Below are 19,362 nucleotides of genomic sequence, written 5' to 3'. Positions count from 1 at the left end.
TGATTCTCAATGTTGGAGGTGGGGCCTGTGGGAGGTGATTGGATCATAGGGGCAGATTCCTCATGAATGGTTTAGGCCCATCTCCTAAGTGAATTCTTGGTTAGTTAGTTCACATGAGATCTGGTTGTTTAACGGTCTGGCACCTTCCCCCACCACCACCTCCTTGCTTCTTCTCTCGCCATGTGACATACCTGCTCCCCCTTCACCTTCCACCATGATTGGAAGCATTCTGAGCCCTTCATCAGGAGCAGATGCTGGAGCCATGCTTGCACAGCCTGCAGACCCTGAGCCAATTAAGCCTCTTTTCTTTTCTTTCTTTCCTTCTTTATTTATTTTTTTTTTGTTTCCTTCTGATTCAGTCCTCATAAACTGCTTTTCTTTATAAATTAGTCAGCCTCAGGTATTTCTTTATAGCAACACAAAAGTGGCCTAACACAGCCACATATACACCTGGGTAAGAATCTTGGCTTCACCTTCAATGGCTGCATAACCTTGAATCAATCACTTAGCCTCTCTGAGCCTTCATTTTCAGCATCATAAAATGGGGTACTGGGCCAGGTGCAGTGGCTCACACCTGTAATCCCAGCACTTTGGGAGGCCGAGGCGGGCGGATCACGAGGTCAGGAGATCAAGACCATCCTGGCTAACACTGTGAAACCCCATCTCTACTAAAAATACAAAAAATTAGCCCAGCGTGATGGTGGGCACCTGCAGTCCCAGCTACTTGGGAGGCTGAGGCAGGAGAATCGTTTGAACCCAGGATGCGGAGGTTGCAGGGAGCCGAGACTGCATCACTGCACTCCAGCCTGGGTGACAGAGCAAGACTCCGTCTCAAAAAAAAAAAAAAAGGCTGTCGGGAGTGGGGCGGGTACTATACAAAATGTCTCACAGGGATATTTTGAGGATTAAAAGAGATAATGAATGTAAGGTACCTAACACATAAGAAATGCTGAACAAATTGTTAATTTACCTAAATAAAAAGTTACTATTATCCTAAGTTCTTAGACTACGTGTGCAGCTTAAGCACTGAAGGACACTGTATACAGTCTGACAAGCATAGACAAAAAAGAATGTATGAAACTCCCTGGTGCGTATATGAAGAAAACAAAATCTACAAGAACTAAAACAACTGGAAAAATAGAAGATCAAGGCTACTTTGCAAAAGACCACTCAGTCAGACATCTCTCTGGCATAGTGCCAAGCTCAGAACAAGCAACACACAGCCTGCAGTTATGAAACATTCATGGCACAGAGAGCCATCGGGTAACCCAGGTGCCATCCTATGCCTCAAGGCCAGGCTTCATTGGCGTCAGAAGTCAGGAAAGAATCAAGAGTTTAATCCATTCAATTATTCAATGAACAGCTGGGCTCAGTGGCTCACGCCTGTAATCCCAGCTCTTTGGGAGGCCAAGGAGGGTAGATTGCTTGAGCCCAGGAGTTCAAGACCAGCCTGGGCAACATGGCAAAACCCTGTCTCTACAAAAATTACAAAAAAGCCTGGCATGTTGGCAGGTTCTTGTAGTCCCAGCTACTCAGAGGGCTGAGGTCAAAGGATTGCATGAGCCCAGGAGGTTGAGGCTGCAGTGAGCTGTGATCGCACCACTGTATTCCAGCCTGGATGACAGAGTGAGATGCTGTCTCAAAAAAAAAAAAAAAAAAATGAAAACAAAAAACACCCAAACTTCAATAAGCATATGGAGCACCTAGTATATTCCAGGTACTATGCTTAGCTGCTGCCCATACAGAAAAGAAAAAGACACACAGTCGCTGCCCTCAAGCAGCTCACAGTCTAGTAGGGAAGAAAAGAACACAGATATTCACAAGGCAGTGGTATAACTACACAAATGGTATGTGCAGAGTATAGCAAAGGCACAAAGGACTGGAGAATATATCAAAGAAATGATGCTCTTGTTTCTAAAATCTTACATTTTAGCTTAAAAAGCAAGACTTGAGACTCTGGAGATGGGAATTCTCATCTCTTCTTGCTTCTCTTTGGTTTTACACAAATATTTTAACCTGTTTGAGCATTGGTGTCCCCATTGAACTATATGTTTCTTAAGGTTTGGGCAGCGACTTAAGCTCTCTGTGCCTGAGTTTCCTTCTCTGTATAATGAGGATAGTAGTAAAACCTACCTCACAGGATTAAGTGGCTTCATGTTTGTAAAAGTATTCAGAATAACGCATGAATAATAACAATCTGCCTGCTAAGTAAGATAAATGTAACTATCCTATTGTTTCTGTCACCAGGCTCCCATCATAAAACCTGTGATTTGTTTACCCACATAGGTGATTCTTCCAGTATCCTGCTTTCTTTATTGTTCTCTGCCACACCTGGGAAATGCATGTGCATGGGTCATACTCTAAACCTTGTCATTTTCACCTGTTCTTTTTAGAGACAGTCTGTCACCCAGGCTGGAGTGCAGTAGCACAATCATAGCTCACTTCCGCCTAGAAGTCACCCTCTAGCCTCAGCCTTCTGAGTAGCTGGGACTACAGGCGTGTGCCACCATACACAGCTAACATTTTGACTTTTAACAGAAGGTAATTTATTTTTATGTTTACTTAGGGAGTGCCCACCAATTCCTAGTTTGTACAAAGCTATTTGTGAAATATAGACTTGTAAATATGTCTTCAGTTTTTCTGATAAAGGAACTAAATGAGTCATAAAGTAGTGGGTTGGAATAACATGGCTAATGAGAAACTAAGTGAATCGATTTCATTCCTAAAACAAACATATTTTATTTAGATGTTCCTTAGTTAAAGTAGCAGTCCTTGGATGTTAAACACGTAGTCTCTATTTAACATTAAATAAATGGGTGGAGGTAGGGAAAGCCTTTGCATTGAGCAGCTTAAGAAAGTATCTGTGAGGCTGGGCACAGTGGCTCATGCCTGCAGTCTCAGTTCGGGAGGCTGAGGTGGGAGGATCCCTTAAGCCCAGGAGTTGGAGACCAGCCTGGGCAACATAACGATACTCCATCTCTACAAAAAAATTTTTTAAATGAGCCAGGCATGGTGGTATGCACCTGTAGTCCCAGCTACTCAGGAGGCTGAGGCAGGAGGATTGCTTGAGCCCAGGAGGTCAAGGCTGCAGTGAGCCATGATTGCACCACTGCACCCCAGCCTCAGCAACAGAATGAGACCCTGTCTCTAAATGAATAAATAAATAAATAAATAAATAAGTAAATAAATAAGACTGTATATGTTTCAAGAAGGTTATGATTCTATTATGGCAGGAGAGAAAATCTGTTAAAATGTAAATAAGGCTTTGTCTTCATTTCTAGATTCTCCCATCTTTGTGTCTACCCAGTGAATAAAATATTCCTCTGCACTCTCTTTCTGGCTTCAACAGCCCTTCCATTTACCATCGTGGAATTCTTCTCCAGGGTTTCACCATGGAGTCATCTAGCCATGTTGACAGGGACAGCCCCTCTAACTTCAGCTTGAGTTTTGCTGGAGTCTGGGAGTCTGGGATTGGGCTGCTCCCTGAATCTGTCAGGAGCCCTAGTCTCTTGCCATAGCCACCGTCAGATTCCAGCCTTCCAAAATCCTGATCTACTGACCCAGGCACTGCAACTATACTAGGTCTCCAAGTTTCCATTTATATTTGAATTGCCCACTGGACTAAAAGCTCTTCTCTGAATCTCCATCTACTTATCTGAGTCCTGACACCCTACTTAGTTCTTTTGTTCTTTTTTTGTAAGAAACGGGGTCTCACTCTGCCTCCCAGGCTGGAGTGCAGTAGCATGAGCACCGCTTACTATATCTTTGAACTCCCAGGCTTAAGCAATTCTCCCGCCTTAGCCTCTGGAGTAGCTGAGACTACAGGCACACACCATCATGCCTGGTTAATTTAAAAACAAATTTTCTTTTCTTTTTTTTTTTTTTAGAGATAGGGTTTCCTTATGTTGCCAAGGCTGATCTCGAACTCCTGGCCTCAAGAAATCCTCTCTTCTTAGCCTCCCAAAGTGCTGAGATTATAGGCCTATTGAGCCCAGCTCCTACTTAGTTCTTGCTGGAATCCACCTCTTCCTATTTGTGTGACTTGCAGCAACTAACCTAATCTTTCTGAATCTCCGTTTTCTACTTCTTAGGCTGTTGCAAGGACAAAATGAAGTGCCAAAGACAGACAGACATTGGTATAGATACAGATAAGGATATAGATAGAGGTATGCAGATATTCAAGAAACATTAGTTTTTCATCCCTATATTTACAAATCTCAGCTTCTGGTGCTATGTCCATTACTTCAGGCCTCCTTCACTTGCCATGAAAGCCTGAGTCTGCCATTCCTTCACAGACATTCTATGTGTCCACTGTTCCCATGCCATCCTTTCTCCTTTTCATTCCTAGCCTGCACCGCTGAGGTCCCTGCAGGCACTATGGTTTAGCCAGCACAGCTCACAGCAGACTCATCTGCTTGGATCATCTTTCTTTCTCCCCTTCTTCATCCCTATCTCCATACTTCCCAAGCATCCTTGATACTCAAAGTTTGGTGCAGCAGCAGTATCACCTGGGTGCGTGTTAGAAATGCAGTATGTGATGCCCCACTCCAGACCTGGAATTCTGCATTTTGACAGGGTTAACATTCCTCCTCCAGGAATCTTTCTCTGATGTCCCTGTGGTAAGTTAAGGGCTCCTATGCTATGCGCCATCCCACAGGAATCAGCCTGCCATAGAACCAAGGAAACTCATTCCTGGCCTCGGGACCCACATGTGCAAAAGTCTACAGGCTAAAAATATCCTAGAGCATGTGGTGTATGGATTAATTTATCCCTTCCATTGCAACGATTTTTTTTTTTTTTTTGAGACGGAGTCTCACTCTGTCACTCAGGCTGGAGTGCAGTGGCGTGATCTCAGCTCACTGCAATCTCTGCCTCCCAGGTTCAAATGATTCTCCTGCCTCAGCCTCCCGAGTAGCTGCAATTACAGGCATGCACCAGTTGTGTCTGGCTAATTTTTGTATTTTTAGTAGAGATGGAGTTTCACCATGTTGGCCAGGCTAATCTCGAACTCTTGACCTCAGGCGATCCGCCTGCCTCAGCCTCCCAAAGTGCTGGGGTTACCGGTGTGAGGCACCACACCCAGCCTCCACTGCAATGATTTATGTACATATCTGTCTCCCTTAGTCATCCATGAGTTCCTTAAGAGCAGGAACTGAGTCCTGTTGATCTATTTCTAATAACTGGCATAGTGTCAGGCATAGAAGTACACAGATAGGACAGCAACAAGAAGATAGGTTTGGAGAGGGATTTCTTCTGGGCTTAGTTCATTGTCCATCAAACTGGTATCCTGAGTATCTTGAGCTTTCTTCTAGAGCAGTAGGATAAGACCACTAAGAAAAAAACAAGTTTTTTCAATTAAAGGAAGAAATTACAAATGATGGGTAGGTTTATGGGTGCTCTGTAAGCTATCCTTTTAAAAAATCCCTTAAAAATATATTTCATTGGTAACAGTAAAAAAGGTGAGGAGGAAGAAGTTCAGAGGTGGCTGAATAGTGAAGAGTGAGCATATGTTTTTGGTTTTACTGCCGCTCCAGTTTCAACTCCAAAGGCATGCATGTATTTCCCTGGAGACACATGTGACTTAGTTACAGGCCTTGTGCTACATTTCTTTTGTCTATAGCACAAGGGTGAGTGCCTCTTATGCTCATTTCTGAGAAAGGACCCCAAGTTCAGCTGGTTTGTCCTGGTTACATGAGCTGAAGTTGAGAGAGCCTTAACTCCCACCTCCTTTACAAAAATTCTATTGGGATTATGAAATTTAGAGTCAAACAGAGATTAAAAGTCCTCTAGTCTGCCAGTCTCCAACTTGCACCCCTTGGCTCCATTAGCATTATTGCAAAAAGTCCACAAGTCTATGTAGGCATTTAGCATTGGGTTCAGGCTGAATAAAGGTTATGTCTTGCACAAATAGGTTCTATTTTTCAAGCCACAAGTGGCTTAGAACACTGACTCTAGAGCCATGCAGCCTGAGTGGAATCTCAGCTCCACCAGTACTAGTTGTGTGCCTTTAAGAAAGGCACTTTCTGTGCCTGTTTTCTCATCTGTAAAACAGGGATAACTATACTTATTTCACAGGATTACATGAGCTAATACTTGTATACTTTTTACCATAGCATCTGGACTATAATAGGCACTATATAAATGCTAGCTAAAGAAAACAAATAAAAAGTAAGCCAGGCATGGTGGTGCATACTTGTAGTCCTAGCTACTTGGGAGGCTGAGGTGGGAGAATCACTTGAGTCCAGGAATTTGAGGCCAGCCTGGGTGACACAATGAGACCCCATCTCTAAAATAAATAAATAGAATTCAACTAGATGATCTGAGAGAGAATACGGAGATTCAACAGAGAAGTGATGAGAAGCACTGAAAGCAAGTTAGGAGATGGAAGCAAGACAGTTTGTTTGGCTCGGATCAGCTGGGAGCCAGGAAAAGCCCCTTGATATGGGAAAAGGGTAAGAAAGAGCCCCAAGGCTCCACATTCCCACCACAGCCTTTTATAGTCTTAGCTATAGGGGAACCAACCCACATGGGCCTTGAGACTATCATAGGGAGCTGCCTAAAGACTGCACAGAGGCCGGGCGTGGTGGCTTACACCTGTAATCCTAACACTTTGGGAGGTCAAGGTGGGTGGATCACCTGAGGTCAGGAGTTCAAGAACAGCCTGGCCAACATGGTGAAACCCCGTCTCTACTAAAAATACAAAAATTAGCCAGGCACGGTGGTGGGTGCCTGTAATCCCAGCTACTTGGGAGGCTGAGACAGGAGAATTGCTTGAACCTGGGAGACAGAGGTTGCAGTGAGCTGAGATTATGCCACTGCATTCCATCCTGGACAAAAGAGCAAAACTCTGACTCAAAAAAAAAAAAAAAAGGCACAGAGGCATTGCTCCAGAGAGGGAACACACACAAAGTCCCACAGGCATCCATGTCCTAAGCAGCTGCAGCTTGGTGCTATTCTGAGAACCAAGCTCTCAAAGGTCTGCATCCTGCCCTAGGGTCTGGGCTGTCGCTGTCATCACTGGGCTAAGGTGGGAGAGGGGAGGCTAGGCGGTCCCATGTACCCCAAGGAAAATTCCCATTGCTGCTGTGGCAGAATGCTGTGGGACCAAGGCATGAGCAAATTACACTGCCCACAGTTACCTGCCTTGGCTGCTCCAGCAGAGACAGGCTCCACCTTCAATGGTGGCAGGCCCACAGTGTGGTCACCATTGCCCACATCTGAGCCACGCTGCCCCTTCCTATTGCAGCCAGCACCTGAATGCACTACCAAGGGGGACTGAGGACATGTCTACCAGCCTGGTCTCCTTCCACCAGTACTCAAGTGTGCTATCCAGAGGTTGGGTCAACCCAACCTGCCAATACCACCACAGCTATCACCCAACTGGATGTATCACCAGGGACCAGATATCACAGCTATCACCCAACAGCATGTACCACCACAGCTATTACCCAACTGCATGTATCACCAGAGGGACTAGCCTGCACAACCTGTCACAGCCACTACCAACACCACCATGGACCTCCTGGACTCCAGTGGGTTTGTTCTACCACTGCTACTGCCATGGCCCACATCACACCAGCTGCCAAGGGGCCTGATAACTTGCACATACGCCCAACACACTGTTGCCACAACCAGCATTTAAGCAAGCCATCTAGAAGGCTAAGAATCAGCACTCCAGGACCCACTAACGTTGGTGCCAACATAGGTCCCCTGAGGCCCACAAACAGGCATGCTTGGCCCACCACTACCGCCACTGGGGCTCAAACACTGGCCCGCCCACTTGGCACCCTAGTTCCAGCAAAACCTAACCACAGACTCCAGTAATAACCAAACCTGAAGCCACCAAAAAAGCATGGATGCCACTGATGCCATTTACAGCTGAAGAAACACAGCCAGGCTGGGTGCGGTGGCTCACACCTGTAATCCCAGCACTTTGGGAGGCCAAGGTGGGTGGATCACCTGAGGTCAGGAGTTCGAGACCAGTCCAACCCATACGGTGAAACCTCGTCTCTACTAAAAATACAAAAATTAGCTGGGCATAGTGGCATGCGCCTGTAGTTCCAGCTACTCAGGAGGCTGAGACAGGAGAGTTGCTTGAACCCCTGGGAGGCGGAGGTTGCAGTGAGCCAAGATCGCACCACTGTACTCCAGCCTGGGTGACAGAGTGAGATTCCATCTCAAAAGAAAAAAAAAAAAGAAATCACATAGCCCACATGCTATTGCATGCACCCCAAATCAAGGCCAACCAATGATCCTATCTAACCAACAACATATACACATCTTCAGGGAAAAATCTTCCCCTACAAAGCAATTTCAAAAAATTAGAAGAAGTGACAATTATGCTAGATATGCAGATGTCAATGCAAGGACACAGGAAACATGAAAAAGCAAGAAAATATAACACCACCAAAGGAAAACAATAATTCTCCAGCAGCAGATCCCAATAAAAAAGAAATTCACAAAATACTGATTTTAAAGAACCTTGGTGAGCTACAAGAGGATTCTGAAAAAGAATACAGAGAAATCAGAAAAACAACTCAGGATATGAATGAGAAATTTACCAGAGGTATTTTTTAAAAGAACCAAACAGGCCAGGCATGGTGGCTCATGCCTGCAATCCCAGCGCTTTGGGAGGCTAAGGCGGTTGGATCACAAGGTCAGGAGATTGACACCATACTGGCTAACACGGTGAAACCCCATCTCTACTAAATGTACAAAAAATTAGCCGGGTGTGGTGGCGGGCGCCTATAGTCCCAGCTACATGGAAGGTTGAGGCAGGAGAATGGCATGAACCTGGGAGGCAGAGCTTGCAGTGAGCAGAGATCGCGCCACTGCACTAGAGCCTGGGCGACAGAGTGAGACTTCATCTCAAAAAAAAAAAAAAAAAAAAAAAAAGAGAACCAAACAGAAAGCTTAGAACTGAATAATTCATTTATTTAAGGAAATACAAAATACACTTGAAAGCTTCAACAACAGCTCATACTTGTAATCCTAGCAATTTGGGAGGTCAAGGCAGGTGGATAGCCTGAGCTCAGGAGTTTGAGACCAGCCTGGGCAAAAATGGCAAAACTCCGTCTCTACTAAAAATACAAACAATTAGCTGGGCATGGTGGCACACACCTGTAATCCTAGCTATGCAGGAAGCTGAGGCACAAGAATCGCTTGAACCCAGGAGGTAGAGGTTGCAGTGAGTGCAGATCATGCCACTGCAGCCTGGGTGACAGAGTAAAACTGTTGTGTCTCAAAAAAAAAAAAGAAAAAAAAAGGAAAGATAGCTTCAACAATAGACTAGATCACCGAGGGCGGTGGCTTATGCCTGTAATCCCAGCACTTTGGGAGGCCAAGGCATGTGGATCACGAGGTCAAGAGATTGAGACCATCCTGTCCAACATGGTGAAACCCCATCTCTACTAAAAATACAAACATTAGCTGGGCATGGTGGTGCGTATCTGTAATCCCAGCTACTCGGGAGGCTGAGGTAGGAGAATCACTTGAATCCGGGAGGCGGAGGTTGCAGTGAGCCGAGATCGCACCATTGCATTCCAGCCTGGGCAACAAGAGCGAAACTCCGTCTCAAAAAAAAAAAAAAAAAAAAAAAAAAAAAAGACTAGATCAAACAGAAGAAAGAATTTCAAAACTTCAGGACAAGTCTTTTGAAATAATTCAGTAGGATAAGAATAAGGAAAAAAAGAATGAGGCCAGCCACAGTGGCTCAGGTCAGTAAACCCAACACTTTGGAAGGCCAAGGCAGAAAGGTTGCTTGAGTTCAGGAGTTTTGAGATCGGCCTGAGCAACATAGTAAGATCTCATCTTTAGTACTAATAATTTTTTAAAAAATAGGCTGGCATGGCCAAGTGTAGTGGCTCACTCCTTTAATCCCAGCACTTTGGGAGGCCGAGGTGGGTGGATAACCTGAGGTTGGGAGTTTGAGACCAGCCTGACCAACATGGAGAAACCCTGTCTCTAAAAAAAATACAAAATTTGCCAGGTACAGTGGCGTGCCTGTAATCCCAGCTACTCGGGAGGCTGAGGCAGGGGAATCGCTTGAACCTGAGAGGCGGGGGTTGTGGTGAGCCAAGATTGCGCCATTGCACTCCAGCCTGGGCAACAAGAGCGAAACTCCATCTCAAAAACAAAAATAGGCTGGCATGATGGCACACACCTGTAGTCCTACCTACTCAGGAGGCTGAAGTGGGAGGACTGCTTGAGCCTGGGATGTCAAGGCTGCAGTGAAGTGTGATTGTGCCACTGTCCTGTAGCCTAGACAAGGCAAGAACAAGACCCTATCCTGAAAAAAAAAAAAAAAAAAGAAAAAAGAATAAGCAAAGCATTCACGATATTTGAGAAAACATAAAGCAACTGAATATTCTAATTATTGGTGTCCCTGAAGGCTAAGACAGAGTAAAAAAATTAGAAAACCTATTTAACTAAATAATAAATGAAAACTTCCCAAGTTTAGCGAGAAATTTAGACATCCAGGTAAAAGAGGCTCAGTGATCCCCAGGAAGATATAATGCAAAGATGTATTCTCCATGGCACATTATAGTCAGACTGTCTATAATAAAAGACAAAGAGCAAATATTAAAAACTGAAAGAAAAAAAAAAGCATCTAGTCACCTATAAAGGAAACTACATCGGACTAACAGTGGATTGCTTTCCTTTTTTTTTTTTTTTTTTTGAGACAGGGTGTCACTCTGTTGCCCAGGCTGTAGTGCAGTAGCATGATCACTGCTTACTGCAGCCTTGGCCTGCCAGGCTCAAGCGATCCTCCCAAGTAACTAGAACTACAGGCATGTGCCACCACACCTGGCTAATCTTTTAATTTTTAGTAGAGAAGGTCTCACTATGTTGCCCAGGCTGCTTAACAGTAGGTTTCTGAGCAGAAACCTTATAGGCCAGAAGAGAATGAGATGATATATTCAAAGTGCTGAAAGTAAAAAAAAAGCCTGTCAGCCAAGGATACTATATCCAGAAAAATTATTTTTCATTAATGAAGGAGAAATAAGGTCTTTCTCAGACAAGCAAATGCTGAGGGTTTTGGTTGTTGTCTGTTTGTTTGTTTGTTTGTTTGAGACAGGGTCTCACTCTGTTGCCCAGGTTGGAGTACAGTGGCATGATTATAGCTCACTGTAGCCTCAACCTCCCAGGCTCAAGTGATCCTTCTGCCTCAGCCTCTCAGTAACTGGGACCACAGATACACACCAAGTCCAGTTAATTTTTAAGTGTTTTGTAGAGATGGGGTTTGGCTTTGTTGCCCAGGCTAGTCTCAAACTCCTGGGCTCAAGGAATCCTCCCACCTTGGCCTCTGAAAGTGTTGGGATTACAGGCATGAGCCACTGCACCTGGTCTAAGGATATTCACTGGGCCTGTAAGAAATGCTCAAGGGAGTCCCAGACCTGAAAGTAAAAGGATGATATTTACCATCATGAAAACATACAACAGTATAAAACTCACTGGTAAAGCAATCACACAAAGGAGGAAGAGAAAAAGCTCAAATGGTACCCATACAGATATCCACCAAAGCACTTAAGAAACAGTAAGAGAGAAAGAAAGGAACAAAGAATATATAAAATAGCCAGAAAACAATTAATAATATGACAAGAACAAAGCCTCATATATCAATAATAGCCTTGAACATAAAAAGATGAAATTTTCCACTTAAAAGACATAGAATAGCTAAATGGATTAAAATAATAATAATAAAAAACCATGATTTAACTATATGCTGCTTACAAGAAACTCACTTGGTAATCCCAGCACTTTGGAGGCCATGGTGGGTGCATCACCTGAGGTAAAGAACTCAAGAATAGCCTGGCCAACTTGGCAAAACCCCGCGTCTACTAAAAATACAAAAATTAGCCCAGCATGGTAGCATGCTTCTGCAATCCCATCTACTCAGGAGGCTGAGGCATGAGAATCCTTGAACTCAGGAGGCAGAGGTTGCAGTGAGCCAAGATCACACCACTGCACTCCAGCCTGAATGACAGAGCAAGACTATTAAAAAAAAAAAAAAAAAGAGAAACTCACTTTGTCAGTAAAGGCACATATAGACTGAAAGTAATGAGATGGAAAAAGATATTCCATGCAAATGAAAACCAAAAGTGAGCAGGAATAGCTATACTTATATCAGACAAAACAGACTTTAGGCCAGACATGGTGGCTCACACCTTTAACCCCACCACTTTGGGAAGCCAAGGCGAGAGGATCACTTGAGACCAGGAGTTCAAGACCAACCTAGGCAACACAGTAAGACCTTGTCTCTACAAAAAATTTAAGAATTAGCCAGGCTTGGTGGCACACATCTGTAGTCCCAGCTATTTGGGAGGCTTAGGTGGGAGGATTGTTTGAGCCCTAGAGATGGAGATTGTGCCACAGAACTTTAGCCTGGGTGACAGGGTGAGACCGTGTCTCAAAAAACAAAACACAAAACAAAACAGACTAAGTCAAAAGTAGTTAAAAAAAAAAAAAAAAAGACAAAGAAGGTTATTACATAATGATTAAGGGATCAATCCAGGAAGAGGATATAACAATTATAAATATATATGCTCCCAACTCTGGAGCACCAGAAAGCAAATAATACTAGATCTAAAGAGAGAGATAGACTGCAATACAATAATAGAGAGGAACTTTAAGACCTCACTCTCAGCATTTGACAGATCATCTAGACAGAAAAGGAACAAAGAAACATTGGATATAAACTGGACTTTAGACCAAATGGACCTAACAGAAATTTACAGAACATTCTAACAACTGCATAATATACATTATTATTTTAGTTTAGTTTAATTTTTTGAGACAGAGTCTCACTTTGTCACCCAGGCTGGAGTGCAGTGACACGATCTTGGCTTACTGCAACCTCCAACTCCTGGGTTCAAGCAATTCTCATGCTTTAGCCTCCCAAGTAGCTGGAATTACAGGTGCACACCACCACACCCAGCTAATTTTTGTATTTTTCGTAGAGATGGGGTTTCACTATGTTGGCCATGCTGGTCTCAAACTCCTGACCTCAAGTGATCCACCTGCCCTGGTCTCCCAAAGTGCTGGATTATAGGTGTGAGCCACCATGCCTGGCCAGAATATACATTCTTTTCCTCAATACATGGAAGATTCTCCAGGATAGATCATATGTTAGGCCACAAACAAGTCTCAACCAATTTTCTTTTTTTTTTTTTTTTTTTTTTTTTGAGACCGAGTCTCACTCTTTGCCCAGGCTGGAGTTCAGTGGCAAGATCTTGGCTCACTGCAACCCCACGTCCTGTGTTCAAGTGATTCTCCTGCCTCAGCCTCCTGAGGAGCTAGGACTACAGGTATGTGCCACCACAGCCAGCTAATTTTTGTATTTTTTGTAGAGATGGGGTTTCACTGTGTTGGCCAGGCTGATCTCAAACTCCTGACCTCAGGTGGTCTGCCTACCTCAGCCTCCCAAAGTGCTGGGATTACAGGCGTGAGCCACCATGCCCGACCTCTCAACCAATTTTCTAAAAATCAAAATAATATCAAGTATCCTCTCAGGCCACAATGGAATAAAATAAGAAATCAATACCAAGAGGAACTTTGAAAACTGTACAAACACATGGAGATTAAGCAATAAGCTCCTGAATGATGAGTGGGTCAATGAAGAAATCAGGAAGGAAATAAACAAATTTCTTAAAATAAGTGAAAATGGAGTTACAACATACTCAAACCTGCAGGATACAGCAAAAGCAAAAGCTGCACTAAGAGGGGACTTTTTTTTTTTTTTTTTTTTTTTTTGAGGTAGAGTCTGGCTCTATCACCCAGGCTGAAGTACAATGGTGAGACCTTGGGTCATTGCAACCTCCACCTCCCAGGTTCAAGTGATTCTTCTGCCTCAGCCTCCTGAATAGTTGAGACTACAGGCACACACTACCATGCCTGGCTAATTTTTGTATTTTTAATACAAACCGGGTTTCACCATGTTGGCCAGGCTGGTCTTGAACTCCTGGCCTCAAGTGATCCTCCTGCCTCGGCTTCCCAAAGTGCTGGGATTACAGGCATGAGCTACCACATCTGGCCAAAAAAGTAGAAAAATTACAAATTAACAATCTAACAAGGCATTTCAAGGAATAAGAAAAGCAAGTACAAACCAAACCCGAAATTATCAGAAGAAAAGAAATAAGGTAGTCATGGTGGCATGTGCCTGTAGTCCTAGCTACTCAGGAGGTTGAGGCAGAATGGTCGTTTGATCCCAGGAGGCTGAGGTTGCAGTAATCTGTGATCACACCACTGCACTCCAGCGTGGGTGACAGACCAAGACCCTGTCTCAAAAAAAAAAAAAAAAACCAAGAAGTTGGTTATTTAAAAAGATAAACAAAATTGATAAATCACTAGCCAGAGTAACCAAGAAGAGAAGACCTGAAAAACAAAATCAGAAATGAAAAAGGAGCTATTGCAACTGATACCACAGAAATACAAAAGCTCATCAGAGACTATTGTGAACAAATAGACACTGACAAACTGGAAAACCTAGAGGAAATGGATAAATTCCTGGAAACATACAACCTACCAAGATTTAATCAGGAAGAAATAAAAACCTGAAGAGACTGATAGTGAGTAGAGACATTGAATCTGTAATAAAAAGTCTCCCAACAAAGAAAAGCCCAGGACCGGCCAGGCGTGGTGGCACACGCCTGTAATCCCAGCACTTTGGGAGGCCAAGGCGGGTGGTTCACGAGGTCAGGAGATTGAGACCACCCTGGCTAACACGGTGAAACCCTGTCTCTACTAAAAATACAAAAAAAAAAAAAAACTTAGCTGGACATGGTGGCAGGCACCTGTAGTCCCAGCTACTTGGGAGGCTGAGGCAGGAGAATGGCGTGAACCTGGGAGGCGGAGCTTGCAGTGAGCTGAGATCGTGCCACCGCACTCCAACCTGGGCGACAGAGCAAGACTCCGTCTAAAAAAAAAAAAAAGAAGAAGAAGAAAAAGAAAAGCCCAGGACCAGATGGATTCACAGGTGAATTCTACTGAATGTACAAAGAAGAACTAATAACAATCTTCCTGAAACTATCCCAAAAAAAATTGAGGCGAATACTCCCTAAATCATTCTTCAAGACCAGTATCACCCTGATACCAAAACCAGGCAAGGACATCACAAAACAAAACTACAGGCTAATATCCCTGATGAACGTAGATATAAAAATCTCCAAAAAAAATACTAGGAAACCGAGTCCAACAACACATCACAAAGATAATACAGGAGGCCAAGGCAGGACTGCTTGAGGGCAGGAGTTTGAGATCAGCTTGGGCAACCAAGCAAGTCCCTGTCTCCACAGAAAATACAAAAATTAGGCAGGCATGGTGGTGGGAACCATCTGTAGTCTTAGCTACTCAGGAAGCCGAGGTAGGAGGATTACTTGAGCCCAGGAGGTCATGGCTGCAGTGTACCAAGATCACTCTGCCGCTCCTCAGCCTGGGCAACCGAGCAAGACCCCGTGTTTAAAAAAAAAAATCTATTAATTAATTTAAAAAAATAGTATACAACAATTAGGTGAGATTTATACCAGGGATGCAATAATGGTTCAACATACACAAATCAATAAACATGATACATCACATCAACTGGATGAAAGACAAAGACCATATGATCATCTCAATAGATAGAGAAAAAGCATTTGCTAAAATTCAACATCCCTTCATGATAAAAACTCTCAACAAACTAGATAGAAGGAACATATCTCAAAATAATAAAGGCCATATATGACAAAGCCACAGCTAACATTATACTGAGTGGGGAAAAATTGAAAACCTTTCCTCTAAGAACCAGAACAAGACAAGGATGCCCACTTTTACCACTCTCATTCAATATAGTACTAGAAGTCCCAGCTAGAGCCATCAGGCAAAAGAAAGAAACAAAAGGTGTCCAGATTGGAAAGGGGAATTCAAATGGTCCCTCTTTGCTGATGACATTATCTTATTTGTAGGAAAATCTAAAGATCCCACCAAAAACTCTTAGATTTGATAAATAAATTCAGTAAAGTTGCAGATACAAAGTTGATGTATAAAAAATTACTACCATTTCTATATACCAATAATGATCTAGCCAAAAAAGAAATCAAGAAGGCAATCCCACTTATAGTATAATAGCTACCAAAAAATTAAAATGTCTAGGAATAAATTTAAACAAGGAGGTGAAACATCTACAAGGAAAACTGTAAAACACTGATGAAAGAAAGTAAAAATGACACAAATAAATGGAAACCCATCCCATGCTTATGGATTGGAGCGTTAATCTTGTTATAATATTCATATTGTCCAAAGCAATCTACAGATTCAAATCAATCCCTAGAAAAATACCAACATTATTCTTCACAGAAGTAGAAAAAAAATCCTAAAAATCACATGAAACCCCAAAAGAGCCCAAATAACCAAAGCAATCCTGTGCAAAAAGAACATGACCTGAAATCACATTTTCTGATTTCAAAATATATTACAAGGCTATAGTCGCCAAAACAGCATGGTATGGCTAAATATAGACACATAGACCAATGGGACAGAATACAGAATCTGAAAATGAGGCCACATACTTAACAACCAACTGATCTTCAGCAAAGTTGACACGAACTTACAGTGGGGAAAGGATACCTGCTTCAATAAGTGATGCTGAGATAACTGGATAGCACCATGCAAAAAAAATAAAACTGGACCCTTATCCTTCACCATCTAGAAAAAAATCAAGTCAAAAATGGATTAAAAGGTTAAAATTTTAAGACCTCAAACTATAAAGACACAAGAAAGAAAACCCAGGGAAAACTCTACTACTGCACTTTGGTCTGGGCAAAGAATTTATGATTAATACTTCAAAAGCACAGGCAACAAAAACAAAAATACACCAATGGGACTTAATTAAATAAAAAGTTTTCTGCACAGCAAAATAAATAATCAACAGAGTGAAGAGACATCTTGTTGAATGGAAAAAAATATCTGCAAATTATTCATCTGATAGGGGAGTAATATCCAGAATATATAAGGAATTCAAACAACTCAATAGATACTATTGTGTGGAGTAGGCTCTTCACCTCTTTCCTCACCACATGCTCTTGCTCAGGAACTTATTATGGCTCCCTATTGCTTACTCCACTAAATTCAGTTTCTCCGTCTAACTATTAAGGCCTCAGTAACCTGGCCACATTTGGCCTCTCTAGTTCACACATTCTCAACAGGGGTAATATCACACCCAAGGGGGCAAATGGTTCCCAGGGGTTGGAAAAAAATCTTACTTTTTAATAGATATAGCACACAAACAAATCTATCTATACTACACAACAAAGATACAATGTATCTGTGGTATTAAGATTTCATTAGAGGGAGTGATTAGGAAAAATGTCTAAAAAGGTTTCTGGACAGACGGCAATAATGAAAAAGTTTAAGAAAGACTGATACAACCTTATTTCTCTCAAGAGAAAGAGCACTCACTGCACAAGGGGTCAAGGAAATTATTTTGTCTTTGGTCCTCAGTTTTCCAGAAGTAAAATGAAGGGGAGTTACTTGTGGCCTCTAAGGCTCTTTTCTGCTCTGACAGTTGATCCCCCAAGACTCAGGGGCTCCCCAAGAACACAGGTATGCCTGTGCTCCTTTCATTTGTGAATTTCATTCTCCCTACTGGCCATTATTTCCTCTTGTCCATTTCCCTTCCACACATTCCCAGAACTTCTATTTTTTCCTCCTTTTTTCGGGGCCCCACCTCCTTCACATGAAGCCTCCTCTAATAACCCTCCCATCTGCAATCCACAGAGCTGGGGTTAGGGTATGTGAGCTAGGATTCAAGTGATGGGGGATTCCTCAAAGTCCTAAGAGATGGGGTTCTAGCCAGTGCCTAGCACAGTGCTTGGCATGAAATAGATGCTTAATAAGTATTTGCTGAGTGTAGAAAGTATGAATGAATAAATAAATTATATTTCTGAATCTCCCCCCAGTTTTCCTCTCCAGCGCCTTCCACAATGTTGAAAGCAGCATGTAACTCAGGGAGGCGTCATCCTGGTTTGGGTTTCCCCAGAAGCAAACCATGAGACAAGCAATGGAGTGCAAGTTGTTTATTTGGGAAGTGACCCCAGGAAATGCTGGTAGAACAGTGGAGAAGTAAGGTAGAGAAGGAACAAATACCAGTAAAAATTGTGTTACCAAGCAAGTCATCACTAGAGGCAACCAGAGCTTAATTCTGCTGGAGAACTCCAGGAACCAGCATAGTTACCCCCACAAAAGAGGAAAGAGGAGAAGCCTTCGGGTCAGCTAGGTACTGAATGCACCAGGTCCTGCAGAGCGGAGAGTTAAATCCAAGGTCATGGCAAAACATCTGAAGTTCATCGCCAGGACTGTGATGGTACAGGAAGGGAACATGGAAGGTGCATACAGGACCCTAAGCAGAATCCTCACTACGGATAGGCTGATTGAGGGCATTAAGCCTCAACGGTACTGTGAGAAGCCATGCCACCGGCGACAGAGGGAAAGCTATGAAAGGTGATGGCGGATCTACGGCATGGAAATGGCTCGCAAGATCAACTATTGATGCACAAGAATTGGGCAGATCTGTGCAGGGCTGCTGAGGCCTGTGGATGCAACACCCAGTATGAAACCCTCATCCAGTTTTGTCTCTTTTTTCTTTCTACAATCCCATTTCCTATTACCGTTCTCTACAATAAACTCAATTACATGTCTGCAAGAAGGCCTCCACATGTAGAAACCATCCCATTAGTCAGCAGTGGAGCCTCTCTTTTATTAAGTGAAAGAAGAAACTGAGTCTGAAAGTAGTCTAGGAGTAGAGTGGTGTTTGCCAGGGGCTGGAGGAGGAGGCAATGAGGAGTTATTGTTTCACAGGTACAGAGTTTCAGTTTGAGAAGATGAAAATGTTCAGGAGATGGATGATGGATGGTGGTGGTGGTGGTTACACAAAAAGGTGAATGTACTTAATGCCATTGAATTGTACATTTAAATGGTTAAGATGGTAGATTTTACGTTTTACTACAATAAAAATTTTTTTTGAAAGTCTAAACAAACAAACAAAGAAAAACAAAAAGAAGAGAAAGGAGCTGGGGTACTTATCCACCAAATCCCATTTGGCAATGATTGAGAGCCACTTTCAGGGAGAACTAGCCTCATGGTGCTTCCAGCCTGCAGCAGGTGAAGGCATAGTGATCACTGGCATCCAGAAAACATCCCTAGGCAAAGAGACCCAGGTGCTGGCAATTAGTATTCAGGCTAGAGACCATGGAAGCAGTTAAGGCCAAGGGATAAAGGGGCCCCACCTGCAGCACCTGCTACAGGGCTAAAGGTGAGGAGTGAAGTACTGGTGCAAAGGTAATTTCAGTTTTAGCCATTAAAGTAATTGCAAAAACTGCAATTACTTTT

At 43.1% G+C, this 19,362-nt stretch overlaps 1 pseudogene, besides 1 other annotated feature; it reads left to right on the top strand.

The window, feature by feature from the left end:
• Positions 5,011-5,211: a silencer, noted in NCBI's record as "peak272 fragment used in MPRA reporter construct". NCBI's record gives its function as "represses an SCP1 promoter by STARR-seq MPRAs in K562 erythroleukemia cells {active_cell/tissue: K562}" and the evidence as "EXISTENCE:reporter gene assay evidence [ECO:0000049][PMID:32103011]".
• MRPS21P1 (mitochondrial ribosomal protein S21 pseudogene 1) lies at positions 18,229-18,889 on the top strand (annotated as a pseudogene).

Source organism: Homo sapiens, chromosome 1 (assembly GCF_000001405.40).
Source record: "Homo sapiens chromosome 1, GRCh38.p14 Primary Assembly".
NCBI classification, from domain to species: Eukaryota; Metazoa; Chordata; class Mammalia; order Primates; family Hominidae; genus Homo; species Homo sapiens.
Note: the sequence above shows the minus strand (reverse complement) of the source record. Positions and strands in the feature narration are given on the sequence as shown.